The following is a 27,029-nucleotide window of genomic DNA, read 5'->3' as shown; positions in this document are numbered from 1 at the left end:
CTATGCTTTAAGTTATGCTAACAACTACTACCTTTTGCATGTACACAGGGGGTTTTCCTGCATCTATCTATTCTAATGCTTTTTTTTTTTTTTTTTTTTTTTGAGGCAGGGTCTCGCTCTGCCGTGCAGTCTGGAGTGCAGTGACACAATCACAGCTCCTGCAGCCTCAACCTTCCAGGCCCAAGCAGTCCTTCCATCTCAGCCTCCCAAGTAGCTGGGGCCACAAGCGTGTGCCACTGAGCACAGCTATATTTTTAGTAGAGACAAGGTCTCACCATGTTGCCCAGGCTGGTTTCGAATTCCTGAGCTCAAGCCCTCCCACCTCAGCCTCCCTAACTGCTTGGATTACAGGCTTGAGCCACCGTGCCTGGCTCTAATGCTATTAAGAAAGAATTGGCAAATGTGTCGCCCAGGAATAGGAAATGTAATTATTCCATTTACGCAACTCACTTGGCTTTCCTCTACTGTGAGAGGAATAGCAAATGAGATGGCTAAACTGAAATATCTGACTCGTAAGACAGATCCCCTTCCTTTCCTAAATGGAATGTTAAGGAGACAATCAGCTATACAAATGGCTAAATTTTAAAATATGTATTTCACAGATAGGTTACCTCAACTCAACAGCATCTCACTCACTTCTCTCTCTCTCTTTCTCTCGCTCTTAGTTCAATTCAGTGTTCTGGGAACACCTAAACTCCTGCTAAAGAAAATAATATAAACGTGCTGTCAGCACTATCACTTATGATATGAAGAGCCCCCCATGCTGGCTCCAGGACAATGGGACCCTTTAATCCTAGGAGAATGGGGGTCAACCTGTCACTTCAGAAAAGCCATTGCTCTCTGTGAAAGTATCAGCATAGATGTCCCTGAGCCTCATAATTCTGTCTCATAGCCTGCGCTTGAACCCACATCCAGCTTTTCCCTTGGCTCTCTACCTCTGTCCCTCGTCCTTCTCCTGGTTCCAACCTGGCCATTATTTCCTCAGTGTCTGTGCCAGAGGCCACCAGGAGCCACTACCTCTGTTTCTGACTGTAGGGCTCTGCTCTGAAGTCTCAGACCTACTCTGTCAGCTCTTTCCTGCCTATACTTGCCTCCCGACAGTGACAGCCCAATCTACCCAGGTCTAGCAGGACCTAACCCTTCAATTCTACCAGGAATTAATGAATTGGGTTGTAACAGCTCTCCTTTTTTGTAGGGTAATATTTTTTATGCTACTTCCTAGTTACCATGCTATGGGCACCTGGTATGATGGGCTCCATGGATTCCTGGTGTATAAGGGGATACAAAGACACACAGAGAAGAAGTGTGCCTCTGCTCAAAGGAGGGGCATGTTAAAGGGCCAGTTGAAGTCTGCTCCAAAGAGAGACATGAAGAAAGGCTTGTTTCACTTTAGGAAGATTTCTTCAGTGACTTACAGGAAGAGAAGACAGTCATCTCAAAGTTAAGAAAACATTTCACCAGAATCACTGAGAACTTACAACTCTTCAAATTAAGAAGTTCATTGAAGTCATACTTAAATGAAATAAGCAGTATTGGACTTTGGTTAAGGAACAAGATATGTGAAGAGAGTCAAGATAATCTTATGTACAAGTCAGGAGAGGTGAGTCAGTGTATTTTTTGTATGGATAAAAAAAAGCCTCAACTATCCAAAGCCCTCAGTCTTGCAGTACAGTTTACATCAAAAGGAGCTGAGAAGGTGAAGAGCAGCCCCTAGCATGCTGAGCCCACCAGGATGTTTCCTGAGACCCTCCGGAGAAGGGACAGGGCACAGAAACATAACACAAAAACAAGTAGGGGCCACATGTTGGGGTGAGCAGGAAAAAAAGGAATGATGACAAATTAGACACTAGAACAGAAGCCGCAGCATCCTGAGAAAAGAGGATCAGCCAGAAAAAAATCTAAGACTGAAGAGCTTTGCTCCCTGGTGGGATGCAAAGAGCCACAGGCTCTGCTTCTCAGGGTAGCATCCTCAAAGGCAGGATTAGGGGATTGCCATGCTGTGTGCCCTTGTGGATAGAAGCAGAAGGAGAAATTCCCAAGGCCAGCAGCAGAGCATCAGGAATGGCTGCCAGTCAGTGCAGCTGAACAATCTCAGGGGTCATCTACTATTTATGGTGCCATTGAGGGTGTGGCTTAATTTCCTCATCTATAAAATGGGGATAATCATAGCACCTACCTCATTTAAGATTGGTGTGAGCATTAAAGGGTTTAGTACCTACAAAGTAATGCCTGGCACATAGTGAGCACTCAGTAAATATGAGCATTATAATTATGAATATTACCAACATTCACAGCTGGATCATGTACATAGATTACGGTATTTACACAAGTGACGCCATGGGTTAGTGTTTTATAGGTCCTCTCTCCAGCATTGGGTGTAGTGGAAAGCATGAGCAGAAATGGACCAAAATTGTATAAAATGGCACTATAATAGAACAGGGTCACCTCTATGTGAGTTGAAAAGGGCAAGTACAGGAAAATGCTGTTTGAATCTTCAAGTATTAATGAATTAACCTTGTATGATATTGGAACTCAGACATGCTCACTAGTTAAATTCTGAATCGATTCTTAAATTGTGCAAAGTTAGGAGTGAGTCCCGTGTAATTTTAGCTGGAGAGAAAAATGCCTAGTGGCTCAGACTCAGCTCTATGTAAGGGAGCTTGGCGTGTTATTCAAGAGGCAGAGACAGCTGGGTCCTGAGGGTCAGTCACAGGGTTTTCATGGGGGAATTCAGGGGCCAAAGTCTAGGCAAAGGTCAAAGCCAAATTTGGGAACCAAGCCAAAAAAGTCTTCCTTGCCATCCCAGATTGTTTTTATGAAGCCGCTCATGGGTTTGACAATGAAGCATATTAAAGGCTACCCATCAATTAGTCAGGGTTCTCCAGAAAAACAGAACTGAAAGGGTGGGTGGGTGTGTGTGTAGAGAGAGAGAGACAGATTGATTTTGAAGAATTGGCTGGCTCACATGATTATGGAGGTTAACAAGTCCAAAATCTGCAGGGTAGGCCTGCAAGCTGAAGACCCAGGGACAAGATGTTGCATCTCAAGTTGGAAGGCAGCCTGCTGGTATAACTCCCTCTGCCTCAAAACAGCTCAGCCTTTTTTCTTTTAAGGCCTTCAATTGATTGGGTGAGGGTCACCACATTTTGGAGAGCAATCTGCTTTAGTCAGAGTCTGCTGATTTAAATGTTTACCTCACGTAAATATAGCTCACACAAGCATCTAGAAAGCTTGACTGAATATCATGGCCTAGCGAAGTGGGCACATAAACATAACCATCACAACCCACTCTCGAAAATTAACAGGCAGCCCTCCGAATCCCATCACTGAGACTTGAGTCTCTACAAATGACCTCAGGCAAAAGAGCTAAGGAAGTTCCTGTCTCTGTACCATTGATAGGGCAGAAATGTCCTATAGCAACACAGCCTCCTAAACCATATGTGTATTTCAAACTGTTGGCTCTGGTGTTTCAACTCGAGATGCCACTATGAAAAGGTTAGAAGAGGGCCGGGCGCGGTGGCTCATGCCTGTAATCCCAGCACTTTGGGAGGCCGAGGTGGGCAGATCATAAGGTCAGGAGATCGAGACCATGTTGAAACCCCATCTCTACTAAAAATACAAAAAAAAAAAACAAACAAAAAAAATTAGCCAGGCACAGTGGCGGCGCCTGTAGTCCCAGCTACTCTGGAGGCTGAGGCAGGAGAATGGCGTGAGCCCAGGAGGGGGAGCTTGCAGTGAGCTGAGATAGCGCCACTGCACTCCAGCCTGGGTGACAGAGCGAGACTCCGTCTCAAAAAAAAAAAAAAAGGTTAGAAGAGGATGGTAATATGTCAACTCAGCATGGTGATAAAGAAATTTTTTCATTTTTTTAGAAAATCTGTTTGTGAGTAGATATTGTCCATTGACATTTTTAAATTCCTATGAATCTAGCCTAGTTTGGTGTCATTTACCACTTGCCAGCCTGGTTAGTCCTATGAGTTTAAGAAGAAAGGACAGATTGGCTCTGGCACATGTTCAGTCTACAAATACCCATCAAATACGGGTGAAAATTATTCTGGAAGGATGAAAATATATATTTACTTCTTGCTTATAGATCAAGAGGCAAAATGCATAGCAAAATGTCTTGCACGTATTCAAATATTGAGTGAACCGAATCAAAATAATTTTTAGCAAGTTCTTTCCTTCACTGTACCTTAATAAATAGGTAATTTACTAATAAAAAGCTTATCTAGAAGTTGCCAGGATATTACATTTCTTTACATACATACATTTATTTATTTATTTAGAGACAGAATCTGACTCTGTCGCCCAGGCTGGAGTGCAACGGCGCGATATCGACTCTGCAACCTCTGCCTCCCGGGTTCAAGCGGTCCTTGTGCCTCACCCCCCTGAGTAGCTGGGACTACAGGCATCCGCCACCTCGCCAGGTTATTTTTTTTCTTTTTTCTTTTTTTTTTTTTTTTTGTATTTTTAATAGAGACAGGGTTTCACCCTATTGGCCAGACTCGTCTTGAACTCCTGACCCCAAGTGATCCACCTGCCTCAGCCTCCCAAAGTGCTGGGATTACAAGTGTGAACCACCGCTCCTGGCCCCATTTCTTAGAGTAGAAGTCACTCTGTGGGAAACCATGGTTTTATTTAAAATATGAAATATGAATGCATTAAGGTACATAGGCCTTTTGTTCTAATTTCAGCAATACAGGCTTCCTGTGCGGAATTGTCAGTTAGGCTTTAAGGAAAACTTACGTAGGCCTGGCACCAAGGAAGACGCCGCCGCCCCACCTCCTGAGCCGCCGAAGGCGTGTGGAGGAGGAGCAGGCCTTGGCGCGCGCCTGCTCTCCACTAGTTTGGGGACGTTGCCGGGGCCCTGCGTTGCCCAGAGGTGCCACCTCTTTGAGCTGCAGCCGGGCGAGAAGATCCGCAAGATGAAGAAGCTGCGGAGAACTTGGTCGAGAGTTTCAGCCGCATTGCTTTGAAGAAAGGTGACACCACCTTTGATAAGATGGAAAGCATTCGCTGTCAAAAGGTGCTGCTGCTCTGATAGGTCTAAGAACCCCTGTTCTCATGAAGCAGCATGGAGTCAAGGCTTTCTACATTCTGGCCTTTGCTTATTTCTCTAGGCTGCTCAGCTAACTTTTCTGAAGTTGCTACATTATTACTGATAAGGGGCTCCTCAGAACGGCAAACCGTCCACCTTCACTTGCATTTTCAGTTAGGGAGAACAGACCAGCGTGGAGGAAGGGATTTGGCTATTGCTGAGAGTGATTAACAACCAAAGCCATGAAGACTCGGAGACTGCGGAGACGCGTGTCTCGTTCAGCAGTTGGTTTGGATTAGGCTGCAAAGCGCAAAGGCTAAAGGGCAGTACACAATGTACACAGTTGGTGCTAAGAAAGGCTCTTGGTGGCCGGGCGCAGTCGCTCACGCCTGTAATCCCAGCATTTTGGGAGGCCGAGGCAGGCAGATCACAAGGTCAGGAGATCGAGACCATCTCAGCTAACACAGTGAAACCCCATCTCTACTAAAAATACAAAAAATTAGCAGGGCATGGTGGCGGGCGCCTGTAGTCCCAGCTACTCGGGAGGCAGAGGCAGGAGAATGGCTTGAATCCAGGAGGCGGAGCTTATAGTGAGCCGAGATGGCGCCACTGCTCTCCAGCCTGGGCAACAGAGCGAGACTCCGTCTCAAAAAAAGAAAAAAAAAAAAAAGAAAGGCTCTTGGCCAGGAAAGGTCGAGGCTGCTGTAAGCCATGGTCTCAAATCTGCACTCAAGCCTGGGTGGCACAGCAAAACGCTTCCTTGAAAAAAACAAAAAAGAAAGAAAGAAAGGCTCTAGGGACTGAGAAACGTGGTACCACCATGCCCGGCTAATTTTGGTATTTTTAGTAGAGACGGGGTTTCACCATGTTGGCCAGGCTGGTCTCGAACTCCTGACCTCAGGTGATCTGCCTGCCTCAGCCTCCCGAAGTGCTGGATTACAGGTGTGAGCCACTGCGCCCGACCTATCCTGGAAAGCAATTTTTAAGACAAAACACTAGAGATGATCAGACTTCCTCACCAGAGAGAGAAAGCTTATGTGTTTTATCACATTGGGGAACAACAAGAGGTTTTTGACTCTGAACCTTTTAAAGGCCAGTCCATGTTATAACGGAGAGTGTTGGTTTTGCTTTTCCACTTAAAAACTGTATTTAAAAACAGAAAAACTCATTTTCATATTTATGTCCAGTATTTGGGGCTTAGAAAGTATGTTGTCATTAGAAACATTGTCAAAATTTGTTTTATGGTCTATATAGGTATGCACATAGTTATGTAATATCAATATATCCCAAATTAACAAAAATGTCTTCATTTACATATGTACAGATACCTTTGCATTTTGATCCATAGAACATAGGAGCATGTTCTTAGTCTATCTCAAAGCTCCATGTGTTTACATATTATATGAGTAGGCTATTTTCAGAAGTGAGTTTTGCTTCCATGGTAAGAGTGAGCATTTTGCCAAGAACACATGCACAAACACTCAGAATCACACCACTTGGATTCACACATAGGCATACCCAGTCCCATGCACAAAATCCCACACCACCTAAAGGGAACACAGTTGATTCCAGGAACCTTAGAATATGGCCATACTTACTTATCTCGAAAATCAATTTCCACCAACCCAAGCTCAGTATTCATTCATAGCAGGAAGCTGGATTCAGGGTGCTTTTCCACCTGAAAGCCAAAATAGTGCCACATTTCTGATCATCTAGATTATTCATCAAGTGAGGGATTCCACAATACATATTATTTTCTGCGATGCCTGAGTGTGCCTGTAATTACAGAAAAGTCTATGAGCATCAGACCATGCTGTATCCTGTTTGCACAGGTCTTTTGTTAACTTATGACATTACAAAACCCATTGGGAAATAGTGGTCAAAGTAATGGCCCCAAATAAAGCAGACAGGACACTTGTGGAAAAGGCCCAGGATTTTTGTGCCAGATTTTCCAGTCCATTTGGTTGCAAATTGCAAACTCTTTTTTGAGAAGAAAAAAATGTTTATGGTAGGAAAAAGCTCTCTTCCATACAGTTTGTAACCGATGTGCTCATCTATGGATGCCATCTTGAAATCTTAGTTGGTGATGGACTCCCACCTTATAGCCCACCAAGAAATTCTGTAAGTCATCTTTGATGTACATGGGAAGATTGTCATATCTTAATTCAATTGGAATAGAAAGAAAGCAATAAAAAATTTCTGCCTCAGATAATGAAGGAGACCTTACCTGGAAAAGAGTTTTGATGGTCAACTCCAGTGAGTTGGTTGCAAATATTATCTTTTACTTGGACCTCAGAGCCATCTAGAAAAATGTAGAGTAATGGTCAGTACATTGGTGCTGTTAAAGAATCCTTCAGGGATCCTTGGTTGATGTGGACATTGGGTAGAGGGTATAGAGAAGGTGAGTTAAAAAGCGTAGGCTGAGATGCTGCTGGGCCATCCTCCTTGGTGAATAAGGAAGGAAAGGAAAAGATCAGGAAAGAAATGACAGAACCTTGTTTTTCTAGCTAAGGCAGCTTAGTCAATGTGAAATAGTCAATGTACACATAGGTTAATACAAAAATTCATTGTTTGATTCCATGATAGTGTCTCTTGACTCCCCTGGTCATTTTGAAGCCCTGGAAAATGAACTTTTTCAATAATATACAATCTCTAACTTTCCTACAAAAAAAAGAGTGAGCATTTTGGCTTATGTATAAGTTAGAAATAATTGTTAATTTTTAATATGTACTTCATGGTAAAATGTCTCAGACATATGCAAGCAATTAAATACCAAACTTACGGCCTGGCACAGTGGCTCATGCCTGTAATCCCAGCACTTTGGGAGGCCAAGGTGGGCGGATCATGAGGTCAGGAGATCGAGACCGTCCTGGCTATCATGAGGTCAGGAAATTGAGACCATCCTGGCTAACACAGTGAAACCCTGTCTCTACTAAAAATACAAAAAATTAGCCGGGCATAGTGGTGGGCACCTGTAGTCCCAGCTGCTTGAGAGGATGAGGCAGGAGAATGGCATGAACCCGGGAGGCAGAGCTTGCAGTGAGCTGAGATCGGGCCACTGCACTCCAGCATGGGTGACAGAGCGAGACTCTGTCTCAAAAAAAAAAAAAAAAAAAAAACCCAAAAAAGCAAACTTAGACCAGTGGTGTTAACTAGTTTCTAAAATTCGATTTTTATTTGTAACAAGTCATTTACTTAAGGCCCAATGAACATAAATGGAATCACATTGGTTTATGTTTAAGGAATACACTGAGATTGCTGCTATTCTATTTATTTCACATAAAGAATAGCCAGATTTTACTTTGGAACCTCCTGGAAGCTCTTCAGTGGTCTTTGAGCCAATACAATTTATCTTTCATCACTAAAAGACCATTATTCTTATGTCATAATGAGAATAATCATTTAAGTACCTGGCATAATTGAGACTGCACCACTGCACTCCAGCCTAGGGACACAGCAAGACCCTGTCTCAAAAAAAAGGAAAAAAAAGTAAATACTTGATATACTTGGCATAATAAATACCTAAAGGACACCTTACTTTATAAATCTATTTTTTCTTGCTGTAATGGGAATACTGTAAATCATGCATTTGTATTAATGGCATTTCTTAAAGCAATAGATGTAACTGTGAACTAAATCAGTCTGCAAACTATTGTAGGCATCTGTATTCTGTTTTAGGTACTGTAAACTTTGTTGGAGTCTTTAGTTGGCAGATTATGTTGTAAATATATTTGTATATGTTAAAACATTTTAAAATGTTTTGTTTAATAGAATAAATATCTTTATTGGAGTGATAGCTGTGAAGGTATAAAACTTCACATTTGGATAAAACTCTACTGTTCACAAAGTTAAAAAAATGAAGATCAAAATATTAGGGTTAATATAAACAGAAAGTTTAATTAGGACTGCATCTTTTAGATAATAAACAGATAATCATTGTATTGGTCTATTCTCACATTGCTATAAAGAACTACCTGAGACTGGGTAATTTATGAAGGAAAGAGGTTTAATTGACTCACAGTTCCACAAGCTGTACAGGAAGCATGGGTGGAGGCCTCAGGAAACTTACAAAAATCATGATAGAAGGTGAAGGGAAAGCAGGAATGTCAAACAGCAAGGGGGAAATCTGCTCCCATGATCCAATCACCTCCCACTAGGCCCTTTCCCCGACATGTGGGGATTACAATTTGCTATGAGATTTGAGTGGGGACACAGAGCCAAACCATATCATTTCACCCCTGGCCCCTCCCAAATCTCATATCCTTCCCACATTTCAAAACCAATAATGCCTTCCCAACAGTCCCTCAAAGTCTTATTTCATTTCAGCATTAACTCAAAAGTCCAAGTCCAAAGTCTCATCTGAGACCAGGCAAGTCCCTTCCACCTGTAAGTCTGTAAAATCAAAAACAAGTTAGTTACTTCCAAGATACAATGGGGGTACAGGCTTGCGTAAATGTTCCATTCCAAAAGGGAGAAATTGGCCAAAACAAAGGGGCTATAAGCCCCACGCAAGTATGAAACCCAGCAGGGTGGTTACTAAATCTTAACATTCCAAAATAATCTCATTTGACTCCATGTCTCATATCCAGGGCATGCTGATGCAAGGAGTGAGCTCCCAAGGCCTTGGGAAGCTCCACTTCTGTGGCTCTGGGGTATAACCCCTGCAGCTGCTTTTACGGCTTGGCATTGAGTGCCTGCAGCTTTTCCAGGTGCATAGTGCAAGCTGTCAGTGGATCTACCATTTTGGGGTCTGGAGGATGGTTGCCTTCTCACAGCACCACTAGGGAGTGCCCCAGTGGGGATTCTGTTGGGGCTCCAACCCCACATTTCTCCTCCACACTGCCCTAGTAGAGGTTCTTCATGAAGGCTCTTTCCCTGCAGCAGACTTCTGCCTGGACATCCAAGTGTTTCCACACATCCTCTGAAATTTAGGTAGAGGCTCCCAAACTCTTGCCTTCTGCACACCTGCAGGCCCAACACCATGTGGAAGCTTCCAAAACCTGGGGCTTGCATTCTCTGAAGCAACAGCCTGGGTTGCACCTTGGCCCCTTTTAGCCACAGCTGGAGCTGGAGCAGCTGGGAAACAGGGTGCCATGTCCCAAGGTTGCATAGAGCAGCAGGGTCCTAGGCCTGGTCCATCAGTCCATTTTTTCCTCCTAGGCTACCAGGCCTGCAGTGGGAAGGGCTGCCTTGAAGGTCTCTGAAATCCCCTGGAGACATTTTCCCCATTGCCTTGGCTATTAACATTCAGCTCCTCTTTACTTATGCAAATTTTTGCAACAAGGTTGAATGTCTTCCCAGAAAATGGGTCTTTTTTTTCTTTTCTTTCTTCTTTTTTTTTTTTTTGAGATGGAGTTTCACTCTTGTTGCCCAGGCTGGAGTGGAATGGCACGATCTCAGCTCATTGCAACCTCTGCCTTCTGGATTCAAGCAATTCTCCTGCCTCAGCCTCCCGAGTAGCTGGGCTTATAGGCATGCGCCACCACACCTGGCTAATTTTGTATTTTTAGTAGAGACGGGGTTTCTCCAAGTTGATCAGGCTGGTCTCAAACGCCCATCCTCAGGTGATCCGCCCACCTCAGCCTCCCAAAGTACTGAGATTATAGGTGTGAGCCACTGCGCCCAGCCTGGGTCTTTCTTTTCTACCACATAGCCAGGGTGCAAATTTTCCAAACTGCTATGCTCTGTTTCCCTTTTAAATATAAGTTCCAGTTTCAGATAATCTCTTTGTTCACACATATAAGCATGCACTTGCAGAAACAGCCAGGTCGCATCTTGAATGCTTTGCTGCTTAGAAATTTCTCCTGCCAGATACCCTAAATCATCTCTCTCAAGTTTAAAGTTCCACAAATCTCTAGGGCAGGGGCAAAATGCTGCCAGTCTCTTTGCTAAAGCATAACAGTGACCTTTACTCCAGTTCCCAATAAGTTCCTCATCTCCATCTGAGACCATCTCAGCCTGGATGTTATTGTCTATATTACTATTAGCATTTTGGTCAAAACCATTCAACAAGTCTCTAGGATGTTCCAAGCTTTCCCACATCTTCCTGTCTTCTTCTAAACCCTCCAAACTGTTCCAACCTCTGCCTGTTACCCAATTCCAAAGTTGCTTCCACATTTTCAGGTATCTCTAAAGCAATGCCCCACTTTCCTGATACAAATTTTCTGTATTAGTCCGTTCTCACATTGCTATAAAGAACTACCTGAGACTGGGTAATTTATGAATAAAAGAGGTTTAATTGACTCACAGTTCCAGTTCCACATGCTGGACAGGAAGCATGGTTGGAAGGCCTCAGGAAACTTACAATCATGGTGGAAGATGAAGAGAAAGCAAGCACATCTTACCATGGCAGAGCAGGAGAGACAGAGAGTGAAGGGGAAAGTGTCATACACTTTTAAACCATCAGATCTCGTGAGAACTCACTCACTATCACAAAAACAGGAAGGAGGAAATCCACCCTCATGACCCAATTACCTCCCACCAGGAGCATCCCCTCACATATGGGGATTACAATTCGACATGAGATTTGGGTGGAGACACACAGCCAAACCATATCAATCAAAAAAAAAGAGAAAAGCTTCTATAGAATTGTGGTCTGGCATCCTGACAGCAAATGTCGATTTCCTTATGAAGATAAAATCCTTTTAATTATCAGAGTAAGCACCCTCCAAATGCCCCACCATATAGTCTTAAAGTGTGGAAATATATTCCTTTTTCATTCTTTATGGAATAAACAGAGAGAGCGGTACAAGTTGTTGAGGAGTGGCCTTTGGTCCTCTGTGTCAGGAATGCAGAAAGGATAAGGCTCCCAATTGTGCTGTCAAGTCAAAAGATGCTGATAGAACTTGTGGGGGAGACACAGCTTTCACCCTTGGGTTACTGACTCATTTTGCAGGAAGATGACCATCTTTTACTGCCCAACGACATCTTTCTACCAATGTGAACAGAGACTAGCAGCACAGTGATCACCTGCAGATAGACCTGGCTTTATCTGTACATAACACCAAAAGAAAAAACCTGGATTCCAGAAGGAAATAAAGATTTTCAGTCCCTGCAAGAATTCTCAATGTTCTTCACATAATTTGGAGGTATTGTTTCTGATATATGGGTTATTTTAATGGTGGTATCTGTTTTTTACCCATAAATGTTGAGGGCATCTTACACTTCTCCTATGTAATAGTTTTCCTTGGGAAAAATCTCATAGAGCCGTCATTCATAAAGTGTGTTCCAAGGAACACAAAGTCATCAGGAATCAGGGTTACCTGTGACGGTGGGGGAAGGATTCTGAGATCAACTGGAGAAGCACATGATTAAACAAAACTTAGTAGGTCTCTATTGTAGGACTTCTCAGAGACCTTAGTATGCTTATAGGGGTTGCCATTTGTGTGTTTTGCGTGTGTGCACTGTGGGTGTTTTATGTATTATGTGTCTGTTGTGTGAGTATGTGTATGTTTTCTATGCGTTGTATTGCAGAACTTTTTCAGGGCGTATACAGAGTATAACCTGGAAAATCTAATTTATTTAACATTAACTTTTCAGACATACTTCTTAAGCTGTATTTTGGTTTTTTGCACTTTAAAATGTCAGTGTACTTTTACAGCAGATGAACTAGTTCCTTATAACATAGCTTTTTCTTGTTTCTCAGAATTTTAGCTAAGATTGTACAAAAGAGACTTCTATTAAATAAATATAATTCCCTATCAAGTCTGTAATCAACTTGAAAATCGTTCATCTAGAAACTGAATACATTAGGCCTTGATATTAATAACATAATATAATGCAGTATTTTAGATAATATTCAAAGAGGAAATAAAGCACTAAAGAAAGAGTAGCAATCATACTTCAAATATTATAATTATAGATTAAAATGCTCTTATTTTATTATACACAAAATAAATTACAAAATAAGAGCATTTTACTATAAACACAACATAAATGAAGCATACTTATTCATTTTACCATAATTTAAATACTGACATTGCACAACAATTCCTAAAACTTTTGTGATTCATAAGTTAATTCCCAGCCATTAAGTACCTAAATAATGTTAATATTTTATCTTCTTTTTCTTTCTGGGCACTTCCTTCCTTCACTTGAACTAACAATTTTCTTTTCAGCCATTCTCACCCATCCAGCAATACCTGAGCAAATATGCTGGCATATAAAGGCAAATCATGATTGCCTTGCTTAGCTGCAGAAAGTCACCCAATGCCTATTTACCATCAATCAGCTAATACTGTGGTTCCAAATGTTAATCTGGCAAAGTTCAACAATTCATTTCTTATATTTCAAAAGTTAAGGGAAATTCTACTAACTATAACACTAAATGTCTGCTTTTAGCCAAACTACATTAATTATAATTAATCTATTAAGAATACCCCAAGCTAATCAGAAGCTGTATGTAGGTCATGAATTAGAAATAGATGGGGAGGGCTGGGTGTGGTGGCTCACGCCTGTAATCCCAGCACTTTGGGAGGCCAAGGCAGGTGGATCACTTGAGGTCAAGAGTTCGAGACCAGCCGGGGTAACATGGTGAAACCCTGTCTCTACTAAAAAAATACAAAAAATTTATCTGGGCGTGGTGGCGCGCGCCTGTATTCTCAGATACTCAGGAGCCAAGATTGCGCCACTGCACTCCAGCCTGGGTGACAAAGCGAGATTCCATCTCAAAAAAAGAAAAGAAAAAAAATAGATGAGGAAATGAAAATGAATGATTACTTAATAAATAAAATCAGGTAATATGATAAATGAAAATCTTCAAAACATGAGCAACATGGAAAAAAATAATGAAAAAAACATTTAGGATTATGGAATTTAAAATGTCCAACCTCTGATGACAATGAAAAACATGCATTGAGAAGTTACTATGTGTCAGGTACCACGTTAAGTGACTCAGCGTGTACCATTTCATTCCCTCTTCATCATCCTGAAATAGGTATAATTTTTGTTCCTATTTTACCATAAAGGTAACAGATTCAGAGGGGTTAAGTAATTTGCCATGGTTGTACATCTAATAAGTAGCAAAGCTGAGATTTAAACACACTCCCTTACACTCCACCCTGAATACGGAGACTGTATTAAATTTCTGTCATTTCATAACACATCCCAGTTTAGTGGCTTAAAACAACACCCATTTATCATCTCAGTTTCTATAGGTCAGGAGTTGAGGCACAGCCTAACTGGGTCCCCTGCTCAGGGTCTCACAAGGCTGTGATCTAGGTGTCGACACAGCTACATTCTTTTCTGGAGTCTGGAGTTTGGGGTCCTCTTCCATGTGTATGTGATTTCAGAGAGTTCACTTCCTTGAAGCTGGAGGACTGAGGTCCCTGTTTTCTTGCTAGCTGTCAGCCAGGGGCCACTCTCAGACTCAGGAGGCTGCCTGCAGTTTCTTGTCACATGGTACCTCACTACGTCATGGCCAAAAGGAGAATCAATCCTTCCAGTCTGCTATAATGGCAGTTTACATAGCAATAACATAACCACGGAAGTGACGATCCCACCATCTTTGCCATATTCTGTTCACTAAATGCAACTCATTAGCTCCAACAACACTCAAGGGGAGGAGATTATACAAGGATATGACTCATTGGGGTTTATCTTAAAATCATGCCTACTGTAAGTACCAATGTTCTGTTCCTGTTTTATTTACTTAACTGATGACTGTCTTCTGGATTGGAGTCAATATTACCTGGGAAAACACCAAAGCAATCAAGTTAGCCATGACTTGTACATATGCGAATGACAGAAACAAAATGATAGTTTCAAGTAGACAATAGGGGCTCCCAAATTCTGTAAGCTTGAGGACTATTGTGTCTACAGTAAATCTATGATTTCATTGTTGAATAATTTGAAGTCAATATTAGATGAATTCCCCCAGTAAATGAAGAACATTACTTAGCAGTCAACACTAAAGGCCAATTTTCCAGAGGCCAGTTTCTCTATTAGTGAACTTGGCTTAAAATAAGTAAGGACCATTTAAGTACTCAATTTTTCTAACTAATAACCAAAAAAAAAATCAACACCATGTTGAACCTGATCCCCCTGCCCAAAAAAAAAGGTTTTAGTGACAACTCTCGGAATTGGTGAATTTGGGACCCAGCTGCTTATAGGCATTACCACTGGCAGGATTATCAGGGGGTACTCCCTTCTGTAAAGCACTATTGTACTGGCTCTACTAGCCATTCCTTCAGGGTTACAAGGAAGTAATATGCACAAATTGTTAACCAACATAAAAGTTTATTTCAAAGAACCATGGGAAAGGCCAGCAAAAGGAGGCATTATTGATCAGCGGTGTAGGTATTCAGGGACATTGGTTTACCCATTAAAATGTGCAGCCAGTATCGTAAACAACCAGTGATATTTGCTCACTATTGCTCCAGAAAAAACAACAGCCTAAAGCTGAGTCATCAGCTTTCTCTTTAATCATCTGATATATATTCTTCTAAATAGAGGATTTGATTGGGCCATTTAGCACTGCATGGTATGGAGGGATTTAATGGGCACAGTCTCTGCCAACCTCCCAAGGGTGATTGGCTCCCTTATAGGCAGTCCACACAGAGTTGCTTTCAGCTTTGAGCCTGGCCCAGGTCCTGCAGGTGGTACCCACTTAACAGGAAGCTCCACTCCCTAAGAAAGAATGAACATGAACCAACTAATGATTATAACAATACTGGCAAAAAGAGTTGGGCCATTTTTCTTAAAAGATGAATGTGTAAGTAAAATGTGTTTTAAAAAATGTACGGATATACCCTTCGGCCCATGTGATTCAAATGAAAGAAGTAAATATATCAAACACCATAAAGATATTTAATCGCTTGGGCATTTTGAGAGTCTTTGATTCTTAAGAATTTACACTAAAGAGAAAATACTGATGTGAGGGGAAAAATATATGTTTGAAAATAGACGTTACAACATTATTTATAATACCCCCAAATCAGAAAGAAACTAAATGCCCAATAATAACAGATTGTGAAATAAGATTTTCTAATACTGGCCATTAAATATAACTATGAAGTTACGCAAAAACTTGGGGAAAAGGCAAACCAATTCTTAAATAGGAAAAAAGGTTATATAACCACATATAATCTTTAGGATTTGAGTTACTGCCCACTAAAACTTTGACTCCACCCTTAATTTGCTTAACAAACAGCAAAGATGAACCAGGTCACCCTTTCCTTCAAGTCACCACAAATTCCATTTGAGCAACATCTGAATGAATAGGATTTCCCTATTCATGCAGCACAGGCCAGCACTAGGATAAGGGGTAGTAGATTGAGTTGAATCTATCTCTGGGAACATATCCCAAAGAAACAATCCAAGATGTAGGTGAATAATTATGCATAAAAACTTTCACTATACCAGTATTTACATTAGCAAGGTGTTTAGAAAAGATTAGAAAATGGGATTTCCATAGTTATTCATTCATTTAAAAAGTATTTACTGAATGCTTACTCTGTACCAAGTATTTTAGTCATGGAGGATACATCAGTGAACAGAAATAGCTTATGTTTTTGTGGGTAAAGACAGGTACTAAAGAAATCAACTAGTAAGTACTTTGTATGCTGTTACGGGTTGAATGGGTCCTCCAAAAATGATGTGTTAAAGTCCAACCCCCAGGATCTCAGAATGTAAACTTATTTGGAAATAAGATCATTGCAGATGTAAATAGTTACATTAAATTGGTCATAATAGAGTAGAATAGGCTTTTACTTCAATATGGCTGGTGTTCTTATAAGAAGAGAGAGACACAGGGGGAAGATGGCCATGTGAAGATGGAGGCAGAGACTGGAGTGATACATCCACAAGCTATGGAATGCCAAGGTTTGCCAGCCATTTATAAGAAGCTAGGAGACAGGCGTGGAACACATTCTCCCTCTGAACCCTCAGAAGGAACCAACACTGCCGACATTTTGATTCCGGACTTCTGACCTCCAGAACAAGGTGAGAATAAATTTCTGTTGTTTGAGGCCACCCAGTTTGTGGTACTTGGTTATGGCAGCCCTAGGAAATGAATATACATGCCACACAGAAAAAGCAAGATGCAGAAAAATTAAAATAGGTAAGATTGCAGGGAAAGGAGTATTGGGTAGAGAGACTGCTCTTTATAAAGACTATGTAGAGAGTTTCACAGGTAAGATGGAATTTGAACAGGAACCTTAAGCAAGGAGGGAACAAGATAGGCAGGCATCTGGGGACAGAACCTATCAGGTCAGGACACAGCAAAGCAAAGTTCCAAAGGGAGAGGAAGCTGGACACCTGTGTGGCCGGAGCAGAGTGGATAAGGGCCAGAGGGGTGTGGGATAGAGGCAGCAGTGGGAGATAGAGACACTTACTGGCAGTGACATTGCAATGCCTTTGAGGGTTTGAGCAGATCCATAACATTATCTGGTTACTTTGTTGAGTATAAACTGTCATGGGACCAGGATGGAATCCAGGCAAAGACCCCTCAGGGGGCTCCTGAAATCATCCAACCGAGAGATGAAGATGGCTTGGGCCAGTGCGGCTGCAGGGAAGGTGAGGTGAGATGGGAATGGTATCTGATTCTGGAACTACTCAAAAGGTGAGACTAGCAGGTTTTGTGAAGGACTGGATGTGTGATGTAAGAGAAAAGAGTCAGAGAAGACCTCAGATGAGGTTTGAGGCCTGGAGGTTTGAGGTCAAGGATGAAGTTGCCATTTGCTGAGAAGGGGAACGTGGAGTGCAGGTTCATTAGAAGTTTAGCTTAAGACACAGTAAGTTTAGTATGTCATTAATCATCTCAGTGGAGATGTCAAATAGGCAGTATTCCGGGGAAAGTTGAGGCTGGAGATAGAATCTGGGAGTTCTTGGGGATGGGTGGACAGTATTTGAAGCCATGGTGCTTGATGGGCACTCCTGGCAAGTGAACGCAGATGGAGAAGGACTAGGAGAGGTCTGAGGCCTCAGGACTGAGTTCTGGGGCACCTCCTGCTATTAGAGACTGAGAAGAGATGAAGAGGTTCTACAAAAGAGACTTAGAAGATTCTAAGGAGGAGAACCAAGAAAGAAATGTTCCAGCAGCCAAGAAGAAAATGTTTCAAGAAGGGAATGGGAAAATATTACACAGCCATTAAAAATAATGTATTTGATACAACATAGTGACTATAATTAATAATAATGCATTATATAACTGAAAGTTGCTAAGAGAGTACATTTCAAGTGTTTTCACCACACAAAAATAATAAGTATGTGAGGTGATAGATATGCTAATTTGATTTAATTATTCCATAATATATATCTATCTAAACATCATGTTATATACTATATATATATAATTTTTGTTTGCAATTTAAAAAATTAATAATACATTTGAATCTTAATATTACAAAAATAGGATGATATAATCTCCAGTGGAAAAAAAAATTAGGACTCCAAACTGTATGCAGCAAAATCTTAATTTTGTTTAAGAAACATATGTAGGCATAGAAAAGAAAAACCTGAAGAAGTATAGGAAAGTAAATAGTTATTTCTGAATTTTTACTTTAGGAGGGCATTTGTTTTCTACTTTTATAGCAGTTTCTAAGCTCTTTACTATGAGCTTACTTCCCAATAAATATGTACATAAAAATTTTAAAAATCATAATAGCAAAGACTTTTAGATTCAGTGTTTTAAAAGCAAAAATATGTAACACTTGCAAAGTCTTTTAAGCAAGACAGTAGGAACTGTTGAAACGTCATGTAGTTAAGTTTTTTTGGTTGTCATAATTTTGCTGTCTTCCCCTCCAAAAAAGGAAGCAGAGAAGTATTAAAAATTTCTTTTTTTTTTTCACTTGTGTTATAATGATCTCTCTTCGGAAAGAAGCAGCATAATTAAAATAATGTAATATTTTTCATTTAAATAAGTATTTCTAAAGAAATGTAAAAGCTGGGTTTCCATTTCATTGTTAAGGATCAAGGAGACCTTGGACAGGTCACATAATAGGTCTGGGTCCTGGTTTCCTCATGTATTCAATGAGATCAACGGATGCTCCATGGCTCACAGTGTGGTTGTGAGACTCTCAGACTACATTAAATTAGAGACAGTGCAGTTGTGAGACTGAAGAGAGACCTCAGGGATGACTCTTCCTCCAGCATCCTCCAGATTCTGGCTTTGTTGCCAGCAGCCAACACTGGCAGCGAAAGATGGCTTAAACCAGTTGGCTTGCTTTGAATGCCCATAATTGGCCACACTACCTCTGCAGATGGTCCCTGAGGGCACAGCTCCTGCTTGGCAGAAGAGTCAGTGGTTTTCAACCAGGCCCCGGAAGTGTAGGTTTAATTTCTGAAGCTAGCAGTAAGATGGGAGCCACGTTGCCCTGTGATTAGCCTGATGGAGACAGCAGTCCACCTGAGCTCCGCCCACCCTGAGGCCCTGCCTGGGCATGTGCTGGAAGTTCCTTTAAACAGATTCAAATAACAACAGTTTATGTGTCTAGATACCAAAAGCATATGAGGGCAGTCTGGACTCAGCAGGCTGCACATTTCTCCAAACAAATAATTTATCACTGATTCTTTTAGCAATAAAACAGGGGAGGGAGAGAAGTTCAATAATAGAAGTAACAGGTGCAATTATAAAAGTTCCAATCATACTCTTTTGTTATGAAGTTAATTCCTCAATAAAACATGCATACAACTCAAGAACAACACACAGAGCTAATTTCTACTCTAGGAATTTGGAATAAAGTTAGATTCCTGTCCCATAGACTAGAAGCTGGTTGTTTTCCATCCAAGAGCAAGGTAATAAGCAGAAAGAGAAAACTCTTTTCATTCTCTTAAATAGCAGGTATGCTCAGGAGACATTCTCACTACCAGGGAAAAGAGAATGGGATTTGGAATCTGTAACATGATCAGCCACTTGCATACCTGGATGAGTTCATTAGCCATTCTGAGACCCCAGCCACTTTCTATTTTGGTATAGATTGGGCTAATCATATCCACTCTCAAGGTGGAGTTGGGAGGATGAAATGCTGAAAGCACAGCTGGCTTTTTTGGCTAACATTTATTGTGGGCCTACTTTGTTTCAGCAGAGCTGGGCTTTGGGTGACCCCACTGTCCACATGCCTTCCAAAACCGCACGTTACCTCTCCCAACACTGTTCAATAACCATCAGGCTGTCTCCTCCCCACAATGTGCCCACTCTGCACTTTGGGCAGCCACAATCTCCAACTTCAATTTGTGCATCTTCAATTCTGTAAAAGTAGTGACAATCTACTGCTGCTTCCCTCATGATACCTTTCCACAGTAATCTTCCTCCCTCTCTCTCTCTCAGTCAACTCTTGCCATCCCCTTACCTAATGGCATTTTCCAGCTCTCAGGAATTCTGAATCAATCTGCAATTTCTTTTCCTAGAATCCTTCCCCCCAAGAGTCCTGATCACATGTGAAACAAGTTTGGCCATTGTGCAAATTAGTTCTGTGGCCAAGTTCCTAATGCAAAGTCTAGCAGAAGCCAAGGGTGGGACTGGGAAAATGAAGTCAGTGTGACAGCCCCATGGTGAGTGGAAGGGTTGGAAGGCTTTGTGATCCAAAGGAAAAAAAAACACTAGACCAGGAGTCTCAGCCTCTCTCCCAGATCTACCCCTGAGTCCTGTGACCACTATAACACTTTTAATATCTATGGGCTTCCATTTCTTCACCTGTGAGATCAGGAGGTTGGGATCAAATCAGACATAGTAAATAGGTGGTACTGGTGCCATCATTCACTCATTCACTTACCTCCTCCCACTCCACGCACACACACATCCATGGCACATATCATTAACCAATCAGTACCTTTTTTCCTGCAGAACCCAGACTAGCCCCAGCACTCCAGGCAATCACCACCAAACAATGAGAGTTGGCACAGGATACAAGACTTCTGTCCTTCTATGACATGGATTTCTTCAGCATCCAGGTTTGCAGACTAATGAGCATCACCTTAAAGTAGGGCAGTGTAACTTCCTGGAAATCAACAATATGTACCGTCTAATGCCTCTTTACGCTGCAGCTCTGGGCAGACTGTAGAATGGCCAGGCTAGCCTGCCATGTGGGGAAACCAATCCTGAGTATAACCCACAGCTCCTTGTCCATGCAATGGGAGATGGTCCTTTAATGCCCAGCACAGATTTTTTATTGGAATTTCCAAAGAGCATATCCCATGAGCCTCGTTTCACCACAGATAATCAGACTAATTCCTCAGACTCCACAGTGCCAAGTCTTTCCTTACTTGCTAGCTTCAGTGTCTGCTTTGGCCTCCTGCCCTGCTTATGAAGCTCTGGCCCTCTCCACTGTAGATTCCACAGCCCATGACCTTGACTCAACTCTGTATCTGACTCCAGCCACCCCGGGCTGACTTGCTGCCCCTTTCTCCTGCCAGCCAGGGCCCAGCAGCCCCAGAATTGCCTGCCCTCTGTTGCCCCATCTGCCCCTGGCCACCCATCTCCAACACTGAATCTCCCCAGATGTGTCTGATGTCTCAGCACTTTCCCTACTAGCAGCGAGTGGCACTCAGCATTGGGCACTCCTCTGGCCCTGAGGGGACTGACTGTGGAACAGTGGGATCCTTGCTACCCCATGGCTTTCAATAGCTTCAGGAGCTCCCTTTTCTTGCCTGAATTTCTCTGCCTGGTTTCTAAGGTCCTGCGCAATCTAGCCTACCTTTCCCAGTTCCCATCATCCCTCTACACTAGCTACCTTGCTCTTCCCGGTGCAGCACCAGCTCCCAAGCCCACTCCCACCTGAGGCCTCTGGACATCATTTTCCTCTTGCCGGCAACTTCCTCTCCTCTTTCTCAAGGTCCCCACAACTAACAATTCTTCACAATTCAGCTTACGTCCCATCTCCTCCATGAAGCTTCTCCTGATTATGCCAGGCTTTGGTTTTTACCTAACATTTAACTTTCCTACCAGGTAATTTAGTACTTAATTATATGTTACTTCACAGGATTTTACAGAGCGGAAGTTCTTTGAGGGCAAGAACCTGCCACATGGCCTGAGTGTCTCTCCCTGGTGACATTATAACAAATTAACAAGCAAAACAAACATTATTGAGCTCCTCTCCTATGATAAAAGTGCTTAAACACTTGCTAATTCGTTTTTTGAAACACTGAGTAACTGTGCTGGGATGCATCAAATTCTTGCCCATTTATGTCCCATCTGGATCATAACAGATCCTTCTCTCCCTGAATTAAAGAAAAACTTAGATTATGCTGGAGTCCAAGAAAGTATTTGCCTATTAGGCTTTGGCAGTGGTTTTCAAGCTTTTAATACCGAGAGTCATCTGGGGTATTTTCTAGAAGAGTAGATTTCTCAGCTGCACGGACAAAGTTCCTGATTTCGTGGAATAGGGCCTGAAGTGTGCATTTTAATAAGTGGTCTAGGTAATCTTAAAGTAGATAGTTTGTCAATCCTACTCTGAAGAAAAAACGGGGCTGTGGGAACTTGCTTTCCCAGAGACAATCTGCAATGGGTGGGGCAAAGGCAAAGAAGGGGCCACCACCCCCAGAAAGGTCTATCCAGATTTTCCTCAGCCTCTTCTTTGGTTATACTCCAACTCTGATTACCAAATCTTTGAGACCCTCAGCCAACAGGCCACTTGGCCTTGAAGAGTCATTTTTATCTGCAGGGATCTCCCACCCACAGGCCTCCACTTGGCCTGCCCTCACTGGAGGAAACAAACACACCAGTGCTCTGTTAACCAGCTGCAGTGTTGGGCTTACAGGTTATTTTAACTCCACTATGAATCAGAACAGAATTATGAACAATTTACATGAGACTTGTCACATCTTGTTTCAGTCTTTCTTTGGCTCATAGTTTTCCTTGTTTGGCCTTTCAAATACTTATACGTCTGATTATTTTCAAGTCTGGAAGACTACATAGGTAGCATTACACAGATATGGCTTCTCATGGCTGACATCTCAGGAAGCTCTCAAATTCACAACCCCACATGTCAAAAGTAAGGAAACAGAGAAAGCTTCCAAAAAGGCAGGGCAGAGCTGGGTAGAGCATCTCAGCTGGCACCCAGGCTGAGTAATTCTTCTCTGTGTCTTAGCATGCCATATACAGAGGCCTGAGGCCAAATGGATTTCCACAACAACTTCTGCAGCCTAATTAAGACCCATCCTGTTTGCACACGGGAACTTTGTAGGGTAGACAACTGTTAATAAGAAAGAAATAAAGTATTTTTTTAGAAAAATACTCCTGCCCTAAAGCAGATGTTAAACAACCAGGCTCCCAAAAGAATCTTGTATAAATGATCCTCTAAGCATGAGTTAGAATCTCTACTTCAAATGAGAGAAATATTCTCTGGAGATTTCCCCTAACTGAGGCAATGAATGCTCCCATGAGCTTCCTGGGCACAAGAGATACCCCAGAACACTGGTATTTCTTCTAAGAAGGCAGAGTTCAAGTGCTCTGTAGAGTGATAAAACTTACCACGTTCTCTTCCTCCGATGCTTGATTCCACCCGGGGTTCACAATAAGTCTGTGCAATGTGTTTGTTGAAAAACTGGTTCTCACTTTCTTCCAGGTGTGCAGGGTTTCTGAGCCAGGAGCAGTTGAGGAGTGGGAAGAACATCTGGAAAGACTGGGAGTAAGGACGCCCCATCTGATGGAAGAAAGGAAACACATGCCCACCCATTTTTGCACCTGGGTCTTTCATTTGCCTTTACACTGGACTCTTGCAAGCCCTAAGCAGGACATTGCATCAAGCTAATGGGCTTGTGTTGAGGTCTCTTTCAACTCACCCCAAGCCTTGGGAGAGTCATATTTCTGACAACTAAATTCATGAAGTCTTCCTAAGCCTCTTTTAAATCATGATTCTCCCTTTGAAACAATAGGCACACACATTAAAGTCCAAATAGTCATTAACCTTTATCACCATTCACTAGGAGGTCAGAACAGAAGAGCACCATGTAGGAATGGACAGCCTTGTGGGTGTCGTGGATGCATGGTCCCATCTGGAACCCTGGGGCACAGATATCATGAGCAGAGGAGGCAGCAGGGCCAGGGGTGGATGCGAATTCTGCCTCTACCACTTCTAACCAGTACACCCTGGGCAGTGTACTTGACTGCTTTGTTCTTCAGTCTCCTCCTCTGTGAGGTTGAGATAATGGTAGCAACTAATTTAGGAGATTATTGTGAGAATTAAATGAGATTGTCTATGTCATAATAGGTATGCAATAAGTGCCTAATATATGTTGATTTTTTACTCTGTTTTCTAGAGAAGACAGATGTAGAATTTAGTCTTCATGATGGGTGGCTTCTGAAGATGTCAAAAGGGACAATGCCTCAGAGGCTGGCAGCCCCCTGACATGGTGAAATAGGCAGCCGTGTGGTCAGGCCAGGGCACAAGATTCACACACTCCCTCTCTCCCTCAGTAATGCTCAGGTTGTCTACAGGAAACATCCTATAGTCCTACATATCTTGTTCCCCACGTTGAACAAAGTGAGGAGAAAGACATAAAAGGATTTCTCTGCTCTTGCTCAGTTTTCATCTCATGAAAGAATAAGACTTGCCTCAAATTTCATGAGTGTACAGTCGAGTTCTTACCTGGCAGAACTAATCTTCTGGGGGAACAATAATAGGTCATGTTAATTAAGTACTCATTCTCCTAAGTATATTTTTTATTATCTCATTTTTTTCTCATAGCAACCCTCTAAAGAGGGTCTATTGTCATCCCCATCTTACAGAGGAAACTGAGCACAGAATGGTAACTTGCCCAAGGTCATCATTTAGCCAGAACTTAAACCCATTGGGTCAAACTCCAGCACCCACTATACAAAGCTGTCTCATCTCAACCAGCCCTCTCTCCTTCTGACTCACTTCGGTATTTCATTTTTTAATTGACATTTGCTAAGAAGGTCAAATGGATGACGAAGGATGTTGTTGAGCACTCATTTTAGCAAAGTTGTATCTAGCACTTAATCATGTGACCAATTGCTGTACTAAGACTAGGGGATAAAGGGAGGGGAGGACATGCAGTCCATGTCCCTAATGAACATTCCATCTCCTTGATTGGCGGGGGAGAGAGAGAAAGAGAGAGAGAGGCCACATGAAAGAAAAATAACAATGTAAGAAAGGGAGAGAGGAAGAGAGAGGAAGCAGAGATCTGGGAGAGTACAGAGGAGTGATGCGGTGATTCAACCCCACAAGGAAGGTCAGTGTGTCTTCTTTGCATATACGGTAAACAGAAGAAACTGAAGCTTAGAGATCTTAAATAGCAAATCCTAGTTTGCTTAGCAAGTCAGTGGGGGGAGGTAGGAGACTAGTGTCTGACTCTGAAGCCCACACCCTCTTCACTGCACATATGTCTCCCTGATCCTGAAAGGGTAGTTTACGACCATGTCCTTAAGGGCCTGAATGTTGCACTAAGGAGCTTGGGCTTTATTCTCTAATGAATATAAGTACCCACAATGCTCCTCTGCTCTAAAGTTAAGAGCATCATCTAGGGATTGCCGGGCAGAAGGCAAATCCCACTGGTTTCCTTCTACGCACACATATATCCCCTCCAAGGGTGTCCAGTGAGCCAATCAACCACTTTTTTCACTTTTATGCAAACACAGCAGCTGGATTAGCTGCACCTGCAGCCTCTGCTGTGTCACACATGATAAAAGGATCAAAGTCTAGAACATGACTTCAGACTATAATTTAAGATAATTAAGATTTTTAACCTAAATTACATTTTAACATTTCATAACAGAGCTGTCAAGATTCTATCTATCAAAACTCTATCAAGCAAACAAAAGAGGATAATTATATTTTCAGACACATGCAGTCATCACTCTGCTTAAGTTCTCATAAAAAAGACTTCTGTCTTCTTTCACATTCTCATTTTCAATTGCTCTTCCTCTTCCCAGCCACCCTTGGATTCTGAGACTATGCATTCTTAAACAAGAGGAAAATATTCCAGAGGAGTTTGTAACTCAGGCCATGAAAGTGTTTCTCAGAAGCGGCAGTTCTAATTAGAACTGCATCTAAAGGAAATATCTCTTCATTGGTAGGGACATCTTGCCTCACTAAATAGACTCTGATTGGGGATGAGAAAAGGCAGCATATTAAACTCTTCAAATCAAAGAGAACAATGAAATGCCAAAAAGTTTCCTCCTAGAAGCTGAATTTGCTTTCATCTTGTCCCATTAAGATATGGAGATTGTTGCAAAATCTTTGAGTTGCCACAGGAAGAATACTAACTATTTTGGGTATTGCTGGATGCCTGCCCATCATCCACTTCACCTCTCCCCTGACCATTAGGAATCAGCCATGTCAGTGAGGTAAAAATGACCCTACTCCCCGCTGCAGTGGCCTAAGGCACTCAATGTAATCTTATCCTCATTAAGACTGTGATTGATTCAGGAATACACAAGGAATACATGCTGCAGCCAACCCTTGCACGGCGTCCCCCAGTTCCCATGACTGCTCAAGACAGGGGCACAGGATCTTACTTGGCCCCATGGCCAAGAATGAAGCCCACAAGTTTTGTTGGACAGTAGAGAGGAGAGAAATGTTCTTCCTTTGGACCTTCTTTTGGCTCTTCTTTTGGACCTGTGTGTGCAGACATTGGACCCAGAACTGTTGCAGGCATTTTGCTATCAATAAGGGAAGCCTGAGGACAAAGCCTACACACTAGGAGGATGAAGCCAGGACTGTTACAGAGAAACAGAGCAGGAATCCTGATTAAACTGTGCGTGAACACTGACACAGCCAGTTTGAGTTCAGTTCTGCTTTGTTTGCAACCAAGAGCATCCTAACTGATCCACCAACTCTAATAGTTAAGTACAGTGTTCTTAGCTTTGTGGGATCGTAGCCCTTTGAAAATCTGATATAGACCAGGATCCCGCTTCCCAGAAAAACACATGTACAAAAGGTCACATAAAATCTAGGGGTGACAGGGGCATGGACTCCAGATTGAGTCTCCAGCAGACTGGTTAGGCACTTAGGCTTTGAGGTAGGATAGATCTGGGTTCAAATCCTAGCTCAGCTACCACCAGCTTCTTGTCACTTTATGTAACTCTTCTGAA

The 27,029-nt window shown here is 42.2% G+C and overlaps 3 long non-coding RNA genes across 3 annotated transcripts in view; 2 read left to right on the top strand and 1 right to left on the bottom strand.

The window, feature by feature from the left end:
• LINC00640 (long intergenic non-protein coding RNA 640) overlaps nt 1–23,616 on the bottom strand; it is a 32,165-nt gene extending 8,549 nt beyond the window's left edge. Inside the window, exons 1-4 of the long non-coding RNA NR_038358.1 lie at nt 23,445–23,616; nt 8,449–8,502; nt 7,266–7,340; nt 6,637–6,814 (exon numbers count right to left, since the gene is read on the bottom strand). This is a non-coding gene — a long non-coding RNA (long intergenic non-protein coding RNA 640). The remainder of the gene's footprint in view (nt 1–6,636; nt 6,815–7,265; nt 7,341–8,448; nt 8,503–23,444) is intronic.
• LOC105370495 (uncharacterized) lies at nt 8,488–16,892 on the top strand. The gene is made up of 3 exons (XR_007064165.1): nt 8,488–8,527; nt 11,934–12,126; nt 16,774–16,892. It is a non-coding gene; the product is annotated as an uncharacterized LOC105370495 (long non-coding RNA).
• Nucleotides 16,897–23,610, top strand: LOC124900595 (uncharacterized). Its single transcript, XR_943854.3, has 3 exons — nt 16,897–16,978; nt 20,820–20,926; nt 23,539–23,610. It is a non-coding gene; the product is annotated as an uncharacterized LOC124900595 (long non-coding RNA).
• Nucleotides 23,617–27,029: the final 3,413 nt, after the last annotated feature.

This window comes from Homo sapiens, chromosome 14 (assembly GCF_000001405.40).
Source record: "Homo sapiens chromosome 14, GRCh38.p14 Primary Assembly".
In the NCBI taxonomy this organism is placed as follows: domain Eukaryota; kingdom Metazoa; phylum Chordata; class Mammalia; order Primates; family Hominidae; genus Homo; species Homo sapiens.
Note: the sequence above shows the minus strand (reverse complement) of the source record. Positions and strands in the feature narration are given on the sequence as shown.